General features: G+C 40.3%; 1 protein-coding gene and 1 long non-coding RNA gene across 11 annotated transcripts in view, besides 12 other annotated features; one reads left to right on the plus strand and one right to left on the minus strand.

Moving 5' to 3' along the window:
* Positions 5,488-7,874, minus strand: FMR1-AS1 (FMR1 antisense RNA 1). Of its 4 annotated transcripts, NR_024502.3 has the most exons (3): positions 7,699-7,874; positions 7,338-7,441; positions 5,488-7,052 (listed from the first exon to the last, which is right to left on the minus strand). It is a non-coding gene; the product is annotated as an FMR1 antisense RNA 1 (long non-coding RNA). The 4 variants fall into 4 exon arrangements; NR_024503.3 differs by lacking the exon at positions 7,338-7,441; NR_024501.3 differs by having other exon boundaries at positions 7,435-7,874.
* Positions 7,022-7,211: an origin of replication, noted in NCBI's record as "Frax2 amplicon corresponding to ORI I; peak of nascent strand synthesis detected by quantitative PCR of size-fractionated DNA". NCBI's record gives the evidence for it as "EXISTENCE:fractionation evidence [ECO:0000100][PMID:24419320]".
* Positions 7,022-9,925: a biological region, named in NCBI's record as "origin of replication in 5' region of FMR1".
* Positions 7,507-7,716: an enhancer, noted in NCBI's record as "active region_30006". NCBI's record gives its function as "activates an Ori minimal core promoter by ATAC-STARR-seq in GM12878 lymphoblastoid cells {active_cell/tissue: GM12878}" and the evidence as "EXISTENCE:reporter gene assay evidence [ECO:0000049][PMID:35858748]".
* Positions 7,522-7,710: an origin of replication, noted in NCBI's record as "amplicon 1.4; detected by quantitative PCR of size-fractionated nascent strands". NCBI's record gives the evidence for it as "EXISTENCE:fractionation evidence [ECO:0000100][PMID:17101793]".
* Positions 7,797-8,136: a silencer, noted in NCBI's record as "silent region_21039". NCBI's record gives its function as "represses an Ori minimal core promoter by ATAC-STARR-seq in GM12878 lymphoblastoid cells {active_cell/tissue: GM12878}" and the evidence as "EXISTENCE:reporter gene assay evidence [ECO:0000049][PMID:35858748]".
* Positions 7,802-8,013: an origin of replication, noted in NCBI's record as "Frax1c amplicon corresponding to ORI II; includes amplicon E from PMID:17196195; major peak of nascent strand synthesis detected by quantitative PCR of size-fractionated DNA". NCBI's record gives the evidence for it as "EXISTENCE:fractionation evidence [ECO:0000100][PMID:17196195, PMID:24419320]".
* Positions 7,976-12,024, plus strand: part of FMR1 (fragile X messenger ribonucleoprotein 1) — a 39,207-nt gene continuing 35,158 nt past the window's right edge. For all 7 annotated transcript variants that reach the window (NR_033699.2, NR_033700.2, NM_002024.6 and 4 more), the window contains exon 1: positions 7,976-8,287. Coding sequence is in view for 5 of the 7 variants with exons in the window: in NM_002024.6 (NP_002015.1) it covers positions 8,237-8,287 (51 nt within the window). In the remaining 2 variants the exon portion in view is untranslated. The remainder of the gene's footprint in view (positions 8,288-12,024) is intronic.
* Positions 8,035-8,167: a microsatellite, noted in NCBI's record as "trinucleotide repeat; subject to instability and expansion".
* Positions 8,036-8,168: a tandem repeat, named in NCBI's record as "fragile site, folic acid type, rare, fra(X)(q27.3) A".
* Positions 8,108-8,167: a repeat instability region, noted in NCBI's record as "repeat instability region; expansion of the (CGG)n trinucleotide repeat is associated with a number of disorders, including and fragile X-associated tremor/ataxia syndrome (FXTAS), fragile X-associated primary ovarian insufficiency (FXPOI) and fragile X syndrome". NCBI's record gives the evidence for it as "EXISTENCE:nucleotide sequencing assay evidence [ECO:0000219][PMID:23064752]", "EXISTENCE:polymerase chain reaction evidence [ECO:0000082][PMID:7987398]" and "EXISTENCE:Southern hybridization evidence [ECO:0000078][PMID:7987398]".
* Positions 8,297-8,396: an enhancer, noted in NCBI's record as "active region_30007". NCBI's record gives its function as "activates an Ori minimal core promoter by ATAC-STARR-seq in GM12878 lymphoblastoid cells {active_cell/tissue: GM12878}" and the evidence as "EXISTENCE:reporter gene assay evidence [ECO:0000049][PMID:35858748]".
* Positions 8,753-9,057: an origin of replication, noted in NCBI's record as "amplicon 3; peak of nascent strand synthesis detected by quantitative PCR of labelled nascent strands". NCBI's record gives the evidence for it as "EXISTENCE:nucleotide analog incorporation evidence [ECO:0001107][PMID:17668008]".
* Positions 8,932-9,925: an origin of replication, noted in NCBI's record as "region spanning amplicons Frax12, Frax13, and Frax13a corresponding to ORI III; peak of nascent strand synthesis detected by quantitative PCR of size-fractionated DNA". NCBI's record gives the evidence for it as "EXISTENCE:fractionation evidence [ECO:0000100][PMID:24419320]".

A 12,024-nucleotide genomic window follows, 5' to 3' on the forward strand; every position in this document is an offset into this window, starting at 1 on the left:
ATGTTTTGGGTGATTATAGTATACGGATAAGTGAAGTGAATAATAGCAAAATTTTAAGGGACATAACGGAGGAATTGGGAATACTCTGTAATAAGGTACCTGTACTACCCATGAAGCACTATAGTGTTATTTGAAAGTGGACTTAATTAGATATAAATATATACTGCAAATTCTAGGGAAACTACTACATTTTTAAAAGTATAATCAATATCTAAGATCTCTTTTATTAGAGAATAATATAAAATGCTCAATTAAAACCAGAGAAGGCAGTAAAAGAGGAAAAGTTAAAAAAGAAACCAAGAACAAGTGAAATAAATGGAAAACAGTTAAAACATGGTATATATGAATCTAACTATATTATTATCATAATCAATTTAAATGTGAATGGTCTAAATACATAAATTAAAAAATGAATAATGTCAGAATGAATTATTTTAAAAGACCCAATTATGTATTGTCTGCAAGAAGCCCAATTTAAACATAAAGATATACCTAGATTAAAAGTAAAGGGATAGAAAAAGATATACCATGCTAACACTAATCAAAAGAAAGCTGAAGTAGCTATATTAATTTCAGACAAAGCAAACTTCAGGGCAAGGACATTATCAGGAATAAAGAGGGGCATTACATACCGATAAAGGTGTTAATTCTGCAAGAAAACATAAAATTCCTTATTGTATATCCATCTAGCAACAGTGTCAAAACATATGAGGCAAAAGCAGACAGAGCTGCAAAGAGAAACAGACAAATGCACTGTCATATTTGGAGACTTCAACACCTCTCTGTCAGTAATTTACAGATATAGCCAAAAACATCAGTAAGGATATAGTTGATGCTGAACATCCTTATCGATCAACTTGATCTAATCAACATCTATAGACTTTATTGTGTGTGTGTGTGTGTGTGTGTGTGTATGTGTGTGTCAGTCTCACTCTGTCACTCAGGCTTGGAGTGCAGTGGGCAATCTCTGCTCACTGCAACCTCTGCCTCCCAGCTTCAAGTGACTCTCATCATGCCTCAGCCTCCTGAGTAGCTGGGATTACAGGCATGCACCACCACACCCAGCTAATTTTTTGCATTTTTAGTAGAGTCGGCATTTCACTATGTTGGCCAGGCTGGTCTCGAACTTCTGGCCTCAAGTGATCCTCCCACCTTAGCCTTGCAAAGTACTGGGATTACAGGCATCAGCCACTGTGCCTGGCCTGATATTTATAGACTATTTGATCCAACAGAGACAGAATACACATTTCTTTCATGTTCACATGGAACATTAATCAAGATAGACCACATTCTGTTTCATAAAATTCACCTTAAAAATTAAAAAAACAGAAATCAAACAAGATATTTTCACAGATTACAATAAAATTAAACTAGATATTTTTAGAAACCTAGAAATATGCTAGGCAATGCCCTCAAATATTTGGAGATTAAACAACACACTTCTAAATAATATATGGATCAAAGAAGATGTTTCAAGAGATATTAAAAATATTTTGAACTAAATGAAAAAATAAACTTTTTAAAATTTATGGGATGCAGCAAAAGCAGTGATGAGAGGGAAATTTATATATCAGCAATGAACAATTGGAATTTGAAATTAAAAACATACCATTCAAACCAGCACTGAAAAACAAAATATTTAGGTATAAATCTAATAAAATATGTACAGAATCTAGTTCAACACCTTATGAAAGAAATGAAAAATCTAAATAAATTGAGAAATATCCCATGTTCATAAATAGCAAGACTAATGTTGTTAAACTGTCACTTCTTCCCTACTTGATCTATAGATTCAATGCTGTCTGAATCAAAATCCTAGCAAGTTATTTTGTGAATATTGACAAACTGACTGTAAAGTCTATATGGAAAGACAGAAGATCCAGAATAGGCAGTATAATATTGAGGAAGAACAAAGTTGGAAGACAGACACTATCTTACTTCAAAGCTTATTACAAAGTTACAGTAGTCAAGACAGTAGGGTATTGATGAAAGAAAAGAGAAATACTGTTGTTCCTCAGTATCATGGGGGGAACTGGTTGCAGGATGTCTGAGGATACCAAAACCTGTGGATTCTCAAGTTTCTTATATAATACGACGTAGTGTTTGCATATAACCTATGCACATCCTCCTCCTGTATACTTTAAATCATCTCTAGATTATATATAATACCTAACACAATGTAAATGCTATGTAACAGTTATACTTTATTGATTTTTTATTTGTATTATTTTTATTGTTATATTGTTATTTTTAGGGGATTTTCTTTTTGAGACTGAGTCTTGCACTGTCGTCAGGGCTGGAGTGCAGTGGTGCGGTCTTGGCTCAGTGCAACCTCTGCCTCCTGGGTTCAAGTGATTCTCCTGCCTCACCTTCCTGAGCAGCTTGGATTACAGGTGCCCGCCACCATGCTCAGCTAATTTTTTGTATTTTTAGTAGAGACGGGGCTTCACTATGTTGGCCAGGCCGGTCTCGAACTCCTGACCTGATAATCCCCCCACCTTGGCCTCCCAAAGTACCAAAATTACAGGCATGAGCCACCCCTCCTGGCCATTTTTAGGGGATTTTTAAAGAATATTTTTGATCTGTCATTGGTTGAATCTGTTGATGCAGAACCCATGGATACAGAGGGCCAACTGTAGATAAATGGAACAAAATAAAGATGCCAGAATTAGATCCATACAAATACAGTCAACTGATCATTGACAAAGGAGCAAATAATTCAATGGAGAAACAATGGTCTTTTCAACAAACGGTGCTGGAATAACTGGACATTCATATGCAAAAAACAATCTAGACACAGACCTTATATCTTTCACAAAAATTTACTCAAAATGGATCATAGACCTAAATGCAAAACACAAAACTGTAAAACTTCTGGAAGATAACATAGGAGAAAATCTAGGTGAACTTGTGTTTGGTGATGACTTTTTGGGTACAATGCTAAAAGCACGATCCCTGAAAAAAACTGAACAGTCGAAATTTTTTCATTACAAATGTCTGCTCAATGAAAGACATTGTTAAATGAATGAAAAGACAAGCCACTGTCTGGGAGAAAATATCTGCAAAATACATAATCTGATAAAGGGCTGATATCTAAAATATATAAAGAACACTGAAAAATCATCAATAAAAAAAACCCAATGGGTAACAGATCTGAGCAGACACCTTATCAAAGAAGATACATACGTGACAAACAAGCATAAGATGCCCAATGCCATATGTCATTAGGAAATTGCAAACTAAAACAATAAGATTCTACTATGCACCTATTAAAATACCCAAAATTCAAAATACTGGCAACACCAAATGTTGGCAAGGATGTGGAGTAACAGGAAGTCTCACTCATTGCTGGTGAAAATGCAAACTGTTACAGCCACTTTGGAAGATCATCTGGTAATTTTTGATAAAGCAAAACATAGTCTTACCATATGATCCAGCAATCATGCTCCTTGGTATTTACCTAAATGAGTTGAAAACTTATGTCCATACAAAAATCTGTACAAGAAAGTTTACAGGAGCCTTATTCATAATTTTAAAAGACTGAAAGCAACCAAGATGTCTTTCAATAAATAAATGGATAAACAAACCATGGTATATACATACAGTGGAATACTGTGCACAATAAAAGAAAATAAACTATCAAGCCATGAAAAGACACAGAGGAATGTTAAATGTATATTGCTAAGTAAAAAAAAAAAAGCAGTATGAAAAGACTACATACTATATGATTCCAACTCTATGACATTACGGAAAAGGCAAAATTCTGCAGAAAGTAAAAACATCAGTGATTGCCAAGGGTTGGTTGCAGGTAGACCAGATGAATAGGTGGAACACAAGGAATTTTTTAATGCAGTGTAATTGTTCTGCTGACACTGTAATGGTGGATATGTTATGCTTTTTTCAAAACCCACAGAGCTATGCAACACAAAGAGTGAATCTTAATGTAAACTATAGACTTTAGTTAGTAATAATGCATCAGTTGTAATAAATGTACAATGCGAATGCAAGATGTTAATAACAGGAGGAACTGTAGGGGAGGAGGGAGATTAGGAAGTACATAGAAACTCTCTCCACTATCTGCTTAATTTTTCCATAAATGTAAAACTGTTCTAAAAAATAAAGCCAATTAATTATTCTTTTTCTAATATCTCATTTGAATGAGAGGTCATGGTTAAAGGAAATTGTCAGAGAAAGTGTCAAGAAAGAAGTGTGACTTTAGCTGGGTCCTGAAGGGTACATAAGATTTGAGAGTCGGAAAGGGCAGAAGGCATTTCAGCTGGGTTTGAGCCATGGAAAAGACTCAGAGGGCTCAAATTGCGAAGGAGCAGGAAATAGCACAGAATAAATCAATGCAAAGACAACAGGCAGCAATTTAATGGAAACCAAGGGCCAAGGCAGGGCTAGAAACACTGAAGCATCATTCCAATATCAGATAAATATAGGCATGAGAGCTGACTCAACCTCGGCCGGGTCCTCAACACATATTCGTTCATTCATGTAATATTTAGTAAACATTCACTATGTTCCAGACACTGTGGTAGGCACTGGGGACAAGCAGTGAATAAAACAAATGGAAATCTTTGTTCTCACTGAGCTTACACTCTAGTGAGGGGAGAGAGACAGAACCTGTCTGCTATTTTCAAGAAACAACAAAGAAAACATTATGGCTGGAATGAGAAACAATGGCCTTTTCAATAAACAGTGCTGGAATAACTGGACATTCATATGCAAAAAATAATCTAGATACAGACCTTATATCTTTTGAAAAAAATTTACTCAAAATGGATCATAGACCTAAATGCAAAACACAAAACTGTAAAACTTCTGAAAGATAACATAGGAGAAAATCTAGGTGAACTAGATAGATTTCATGCACTGGAATGAAGTGAAGGGGGAAAGTAGAAGGTGAGATAGCGGAGATAACAGAAGTCAGAGTATATAGGGCACTGAAGCCAGAATAAATAATGACTCTGGCTTTTACTCTGAGAGATGTAGGGAGTCACTGGGGGATTGTGAGTGGCAGAGTGACTTGATTGACACCTCAACAGGGTCATTCTGTCTTCTGTGCTGAGAACTGTCAGAGAGGGTACAACAGTGGACAGTGACTGCAGGGATACCAGCGAAGAAGTTGCTGCCATAATGCAGGTAAGAGAATGGAAGCTTGGACTATGGTTTTAGCTGAGCAAATGATCAGAAACAGAGTCTGGATTCTACAATGATTTGCTGATGGATCTGATGTGTGAAAGAGGGTCAAAATGTCTCAGTTTTAGGCTTGAGCAACGAACTGGAAGGCAGGAGCTGCCTGTAACGAGAGACAGGAGAGAAAGAGAGAGAGAGAGAGAGGACTTTGGAAGAGCAGGCTCATGATCAGGCCTGAGCTCAGTGTCTGAATTCAGGTAAGCTATCTTGAAAGGGGAAATATCAAAAGCTAGAGATCAGAGTAAGGCTGAGACTCAGAGTCAAGTGGGGAAGACTAAGTTGCAGTATGTACTGGCAGTGAAGATAAGTATTTATTCATTCATTGAACATACCTTGAAATCAACCACTTTTAATGTGCCAGGGACACAAAGATAGAAAAGACATTTGCCCTGTCTGGAAGGTACTAATAATCCAATAAGGAAAACAGAAATATAAATAAATTATTCTAGTACACTAACCATCATAGTAGAGGTATTCAACATTTGTTGAGTCTCTGCTATATGCCAAGCAGTGTAATGAGGAAGCAGAGGGTATGCACAAAGTTCTACAAGAGCACAAAATAAGTTCTGGCAAAGGTTTGTAAAGACATTCACAAGGGTTTTCACCACAGTATGACTTCAGGGAGTTGGCAGTAACCTAGATGCCCGATCAGTAGGGATATGTATGAATAAAATTTCTGGCATACTCGGTAGCAAACTAGGTGTACACACAGCAATGTGGGTATAGCTCAAAAACAGACTGTTGAGTAAAACAGTGGGAAATAGAGATTTACAGTCCAATACCATCTCTGTAAATGCAAGAGGCATAAACAAAACATTATCTGTGTTAAATTATCAAGGATCTCTATCGAACATATTGCAGCTTGTGTCTAGAAGAATGAGAGTGGGGATCGAGAAAGATGAGGAAAAAATAATATAAACACTATAAAATAATGTAAACAAGGACCCTGTAGGGACTGATATGACAATGTGCTGAAAATTGAGGAGCAAAGTTAACTCTCTGTACCTGAGATAAAATAACTAGCTAATAGGAATCCAGCTGAAAACCTTAAGGTGCAGGGCCTCTATGGGGCCCAGGAAGGATGTGTAGAGACATGAACGGATGAAAGTGCATCACAGGTTCAGGGAACAACACAGGTTGAGTGTGGCTTGTAGTAAAAATGGTTGTGAAGAGTTGACATATTTTTAAGCCCTGGGTAAATTGAACAACAGCTTACACTTGGAGGGGTATAATCATTCTAATCAATGTGTCCCCTTTTACTATAATACATTGGAGTTGCAGCTAATGCTCTGCTCCCATTCAGCCTATGATGAGATTCTCTTTCAGCCCTATTGGGTTCTTGGCCTCATGTGACTACTCCAAAGACCCTAGTCCAAAAGGTCTTTCCTGTTTGCTATGGCCTTGAGGAATGTGGCCCTAGATCCACCGCTTTAAAGCTGGAGTTCCACCAGCAGCAACATCCTCTCATTCTGGGGCACCTGCCTGGGGCAGGTCATCCTGCCTCTGCCAACTCAGTGCTATTAGTTAACTCTCACCTGCCATATTCCAGCTGGAATCATCTCCCCTTCTCCACCCCAGACTAGGTCATGTTCCGCCATCATGGAAGCGCCTATTCTTCATACCCCTTATCACAGCTGCAACTACTCATTTACTTGTCTGACAATTTGATTTATGTCCACCTACTTTGCTAGGTACTAAGTTCAATGCTGGCAGTCGTTTCTTCTTTTTTTTTCTTTTCTGTTTTGCTCACCGATTTCTCGTTAGCACTTAGCACAGTGTCTGGCACACGATAGATGCTCCGTCAACTTCTCAGTTGGATACCAGCATCCCGAAGGGAACATGGATTAAGGCAGCTATAAGCACGGTGTAAAAACAGGAATAAGAAAAAGTTGAGGTTTGTTTCACAGTGGAATGTAAAGGGTTGCAAGGAGGTGCATCGGCCCCTGTGGACAGGACGCATGACTGCTACACACGTGTTCACCCCACCCTCTGGCACAGGGTGCACATACAGTAGGGGCAGAAATGAACCTCAAGTGCTTAACACAATTTTTAAAAAATATATAGTCAAGTGAAAGTATGAAAATGAGTTGAGGAAAGGCGAGTACGTGGGTCAAAGCTGGGTCTGAGGAAAGGCTCACATTTTGAGATCCCGACTCAATCCATGTCCCTTAAAGGGCACAGGGTGTCTCCACAGGGCCGCCCAAAATCTGGTGAGAGAGGGCGTAGACGCCTCACCTTCTGCCTCTACGGGTCACAAAAGCCTGGGTCACCCTGGTTGCCACTGTTCCTAGTTCAAAGTCTTCTTCTGTCTAATCCTTCACCCCTATTCTCGCCTTCCACTCCACCTCCCGCTCAGTCAGACTGCGCTACTTTGAACCGGACCAAACCAAACCAAACCAAACCAAACCAAACCAGACCAGACACCCCCTCCCGCGGAATCCCAGAGAGGCCGAACTGGGATAACCGGATGCATTTGATTTCCCACGCCACTGAGTGCACCTCTGCAGAAATGGGCGTTCTGGCCCTCGCGAGGCAGTGCGACCTGTCACCGCCCTTCAGCCTTCCCGCCCTCCACCAAGCCCGCGCACGCCCGGCCCGCGCGTCTGTCTTTCGACCCGGCACCCCGGCCGGTTCCCAGCAGCGCGCATGCGCGCGCTCCCAGGCCACTTGAAGAGAGAGGGCGGGGCCGAGGGGCTGAGCCCGCGGGGGGAGGGAACAGCGTTGATCACGTGACGTGGTTTCAGTGTTTACACCCGCAGCGGGCCGGGGGTTCGGCCTCAGTCAGGCGCTCAGCTCCGTTTCGGTTTCACTTCCGGTGGAGGGCCGCCTCTGAGCGGGCGGCGGGCCGACGGCGAGCGCGGGCGGCGGCGGTGACGGAGGCGCCGCTGCCAGGGGGCGTGCGGCAGCGCGGCGGCGGCGGCGGCGGCGGCGGCGGCGGAGGCGGCGGCGGCGGCGGCGGCGGCGGCGGCTGGGCCTCGAGCGCCCGCAGCCCACCTCTCGGGGGCGGGCTCCCGGCGCTAGCAGGGCTGAAGAGAAGATGGAGGAGCTGGTGGTGGAAGTGCGGGGCTCCAATGGCGCTTTCTACAAGGTACTTGGCTCTAGGGCAGGCCCCATCTTCGCCCTTCCTTCCCTCCCTTTTCTTCTTGGTGTCGGCGGGAGGCAGGCCCGGGGCCCTCTTCCCGAGCACCGCGCCTGGGTGCCAGGGCACGCTCGGCGGGATGTTGTTGGGAGGGAAGGACTGGACTTGGGGCCTGTTGGAAGCCCCTCTCCGACTCCGAGAGGCCCTAGCGCCTATCGAAATGAGAGACCAGCGAGGAGAGGGTTCTCTTTCGGCGCCGAGCCCCGCCGGGGTGAGCTGGGGATGGGCGAGGGCCGGCGGCAGGTACTAGAGCCGGGCGGGAAGGGCCGAAATCGGCGCTAAGTGACGGCGATGGCTTATTCCCCCTTTCCTAAACATCATCTCCCAGCGGGATCCGGGCCTGTCGTGTGGGTAGTTGTGGAGGAGCGGGGGGCGCTTCAGCCGGGCCGCCTCCTGCAGCGCCAAGAGGGCTTCAGGTCTCCTTTGGCTTCTCTTTTCCGGTCTAGCATTGGGACTTCGGAGAGCTCCACTGTTCTGGGCGAGGGCTGTGAAGAAAGAGTAGTAAGAAGCGGTAGTCGGCACCAAATCACAATGGCAACTGATTTTTAGTGGCTTCTCTTTGTGGATTTCGGAGGAGATTTTAGATCCAAAAGTTTCAGGAAGACCCTAACATGGCCCAGCAGTGCATTGAAGAAGTTGATCATCGTGAATATTCGCGTCCCCCTTTTTGTTAAACGGGGTAAATTCAGGAATGCACATGCTTCAGCGTCTAAAACCATTAGCAGCGCTGCTACTTAAAAATTGTGTGTGTGTGTTTAAGTTTCCAAAGACCTAAATATATGCCATGAAACTTCAGGTAATTAACTGAGAGTATATTATTACTAGGGCATTTTTTTTTTAACTGAGCGAAAATATTTTTGTGCCCCTAAGAACTTGACCACATTTCCTTTGAATTTGTGGTGTTGCAGTGGACTGAATTGTTGAGGCTTTATATAGGCATTCATGGGTTTACTGTGCTTTTTAAAGTTACACCATTGCAGATCAACTAACACCTTTCAGTTTTAAAAGGAAGATTTACAAATTTGATGTAGCAGTAGTGCGTTTGTTGGTATGTAGGTGCTGTATAAATTCATCTATAAATTCTCATTTCCTTTTGAATGTCTATAACCTCTTTCAATAATATCCCACCTTACTACAGTATTTTGGCAATAGAAGGTGCGTGTGGAAGGAAGGCTGGAAAATAGCTATTAGCAGTGTCCAACACAATTCTTAAATGTATTGTAGAATGGCTTGAATGTTTCAGACAGGACACGTTTGGCTATAGGAAAATAAACAATTGACTTTATTCTGTGTTTACCAATTTTATGAAGACATTTGGAGATCAGTATATTTCATAAATGAGTAAAGTATGTAAACTGTTCCATACTTTGAGCACAAAGATAAAGCCTTTTGCTGTAAAAGGAGGCAAAAGGTAACCCCGCGTTTATGTTCTTAACAGTCTCATGAATATGAAATTGTTTCAGTTGACTCTGCAGTCAAAATTTTAATTTCATTGATTTTATTGATCCATAATTTCTTCTGGTGAGTTTGCGTAGAATCGTTCACGGTCCTAGATTAGTGGTTTTGGTCACTAGATTTCTGGCACTAATAACTATAATACATATACATATATATGTGTGAGTAACGGCTAATGGTTAGGCAAGATTTTGATTGACCTGTGATATAAACTTAGATTGGATGCCACTAAAGTTTGCTTATCACAGAGGGCAAGTAGCACATTATGGCCTTGAAGTACTTATTGTTCTCTTCCAGCAACTTATGATTTGCTCCAGTGATTTTGCTTGCACACTGACTGGAATATAAGAAATGCCTTCTATTTTTGCTATTAATTCCCTCCTTTTTTGTTTTGTTTTGTAACGAAGTTGTTTAACTTGAAGGTGAATGAAGAATAGGTTGGTTGCCCCTTAGTTCCCTGAGGAGAAATGTTAATACTTGAACAAGTGTGTGTCAGACAAATTGCTGTTATGTTTATTTAATTAAGTTTGATTTCTAAGAAAATCTCAAATGGTCTGCACTGATGGAAGAACAGTTTCTGTAACAAAAAAGCTTGAAATTTTTATATGACTTATAATACTGCTGTGAGTTTTAAAAGTAAAGCAAAAGTAAACTGAGTTGCTTGTCCAGTGGGATGGACAGGAAAGATGTGAAATAAAAACCAATGAAAAATGAACTGCTGTGGAGAAGTGTTACATTTATGGAAAAAGAAATAGGAACCTTGTTCATCAAATTGATAGAAAAGCTTTTAAAACTAAACAAATCAAACAACTTGAGTATAATGGAATTCAGACTTTGATTTGCCTAACATAACCACCATATTTGCAAGGACAGCTCTCTATCTTCTGGTGTTTATTCTTAAAAACTTAAAAGTTAGATTTAGCGATCACCAGAGCCACTACTTTTATGCTTAGGTATTTGTTTGACTTAGAAAAAATTGGTCACGTGTACCACTTTATAGTGCCCTGCAGGTGTTAAGATATGAAGGCACTTTGACTTACACCTCATAAAATCTTTACAAAGTATTTTCTAAATGAATAATGATGAAATAAAGTCTTTATTCTAGGTGCATCTGCCCCACATAATTTGTTTTCTTTGGACTAGAAGTTTTGATGTGTTGAGAATGGTAATGAATTAACTCCATTTTAAATGTAGAATGCGTATCACTCCAATATGAATGCCCTAATGAATCCTAAGATTTGTAGGTTTTGTGTACTAGTATGAAAATTACTAAAGATGGAAAAATCACATGTTGGAGACATAAGATACAAACCTTTTTGTTTTCTGAAAATACAACCTCTGATTTCTGATTCCTTGTTGTAATATGGTGTAATTATACTAGATTGTAATTTTGTTGTTAGATTATACTTTTTTAAGTTCAGTGTTTGAGGACAGACTTTCATTTGGTTAGTAGTATTATGGCAGCTAGCAGCTAAATATGATAAAGTGTACAATCAAAAGGATATTTTTAATGAAGATATTAGTGGTCTAACATGTCATTTCAGATACATAGCTGAAATGTAGTAAAATCAGTTTTACTACAAATAAACTTGCATAAGGTTTATAAATTTATAAGTTTATAAATCAACTTGGGTAAAGTGTAAATAAACTTGCACTCGTGGTTTCTCTGAAGTCTCCTGAGCTAACTTTGCATAAAGGTGTTATTCTGTACTTCGAGGAAGTGAATTATTGGGGTCAACCACATTTTTTTTCCTTCCTACAGTCTGATTGCCCTTTTTAGTTTTTAGGATCTTTGTGGCTGCATCATTTTTCCCCTTTTGAACTGTGCATTTTCTAACCCCATACTTAAATATTCTCATAACCTCCAAATTATTAATTAGATGCAACATTCAGTGGTATATTACTGGAGTTTCTGATTTCTGCCCACTATAGGAATGTGCTTCCTGAGAAGATTGGGATCGTGATTATAATAATAGTTAACAGGGGATGAGTACTTTCTAGGTGCCAGGCACTGTTCTCTCTGATACTTTATTTGATGTATTGTTGTTATTCCCATTCTTTAAATGATGCACAGAGAGGTTAGGTAAGTGACTTACTACCAAGTGTCAGGGCCATTAAGGGTCAGGATTCTGAATTCCTGAAATGATGAAATTTAGCTTGAAGAAATTGGTTTGATTTCCTGCTTAGTTTTCAATTTCATGGTGGTCTTTGATTGTATTTTGTGCTATAAC

This window comes from Homo sapiens, chromosome X, assembly GCF_000001405.40.
Source record: "Homo sapiens chromosome X, GRCh38.p14 Primary Assembly".
NCBI classification, from domain to species: Eukaryota; Metazoa; Chordata; class Mammalia; order Primates; family Hominidae; genus Homo; species Homo sapiens.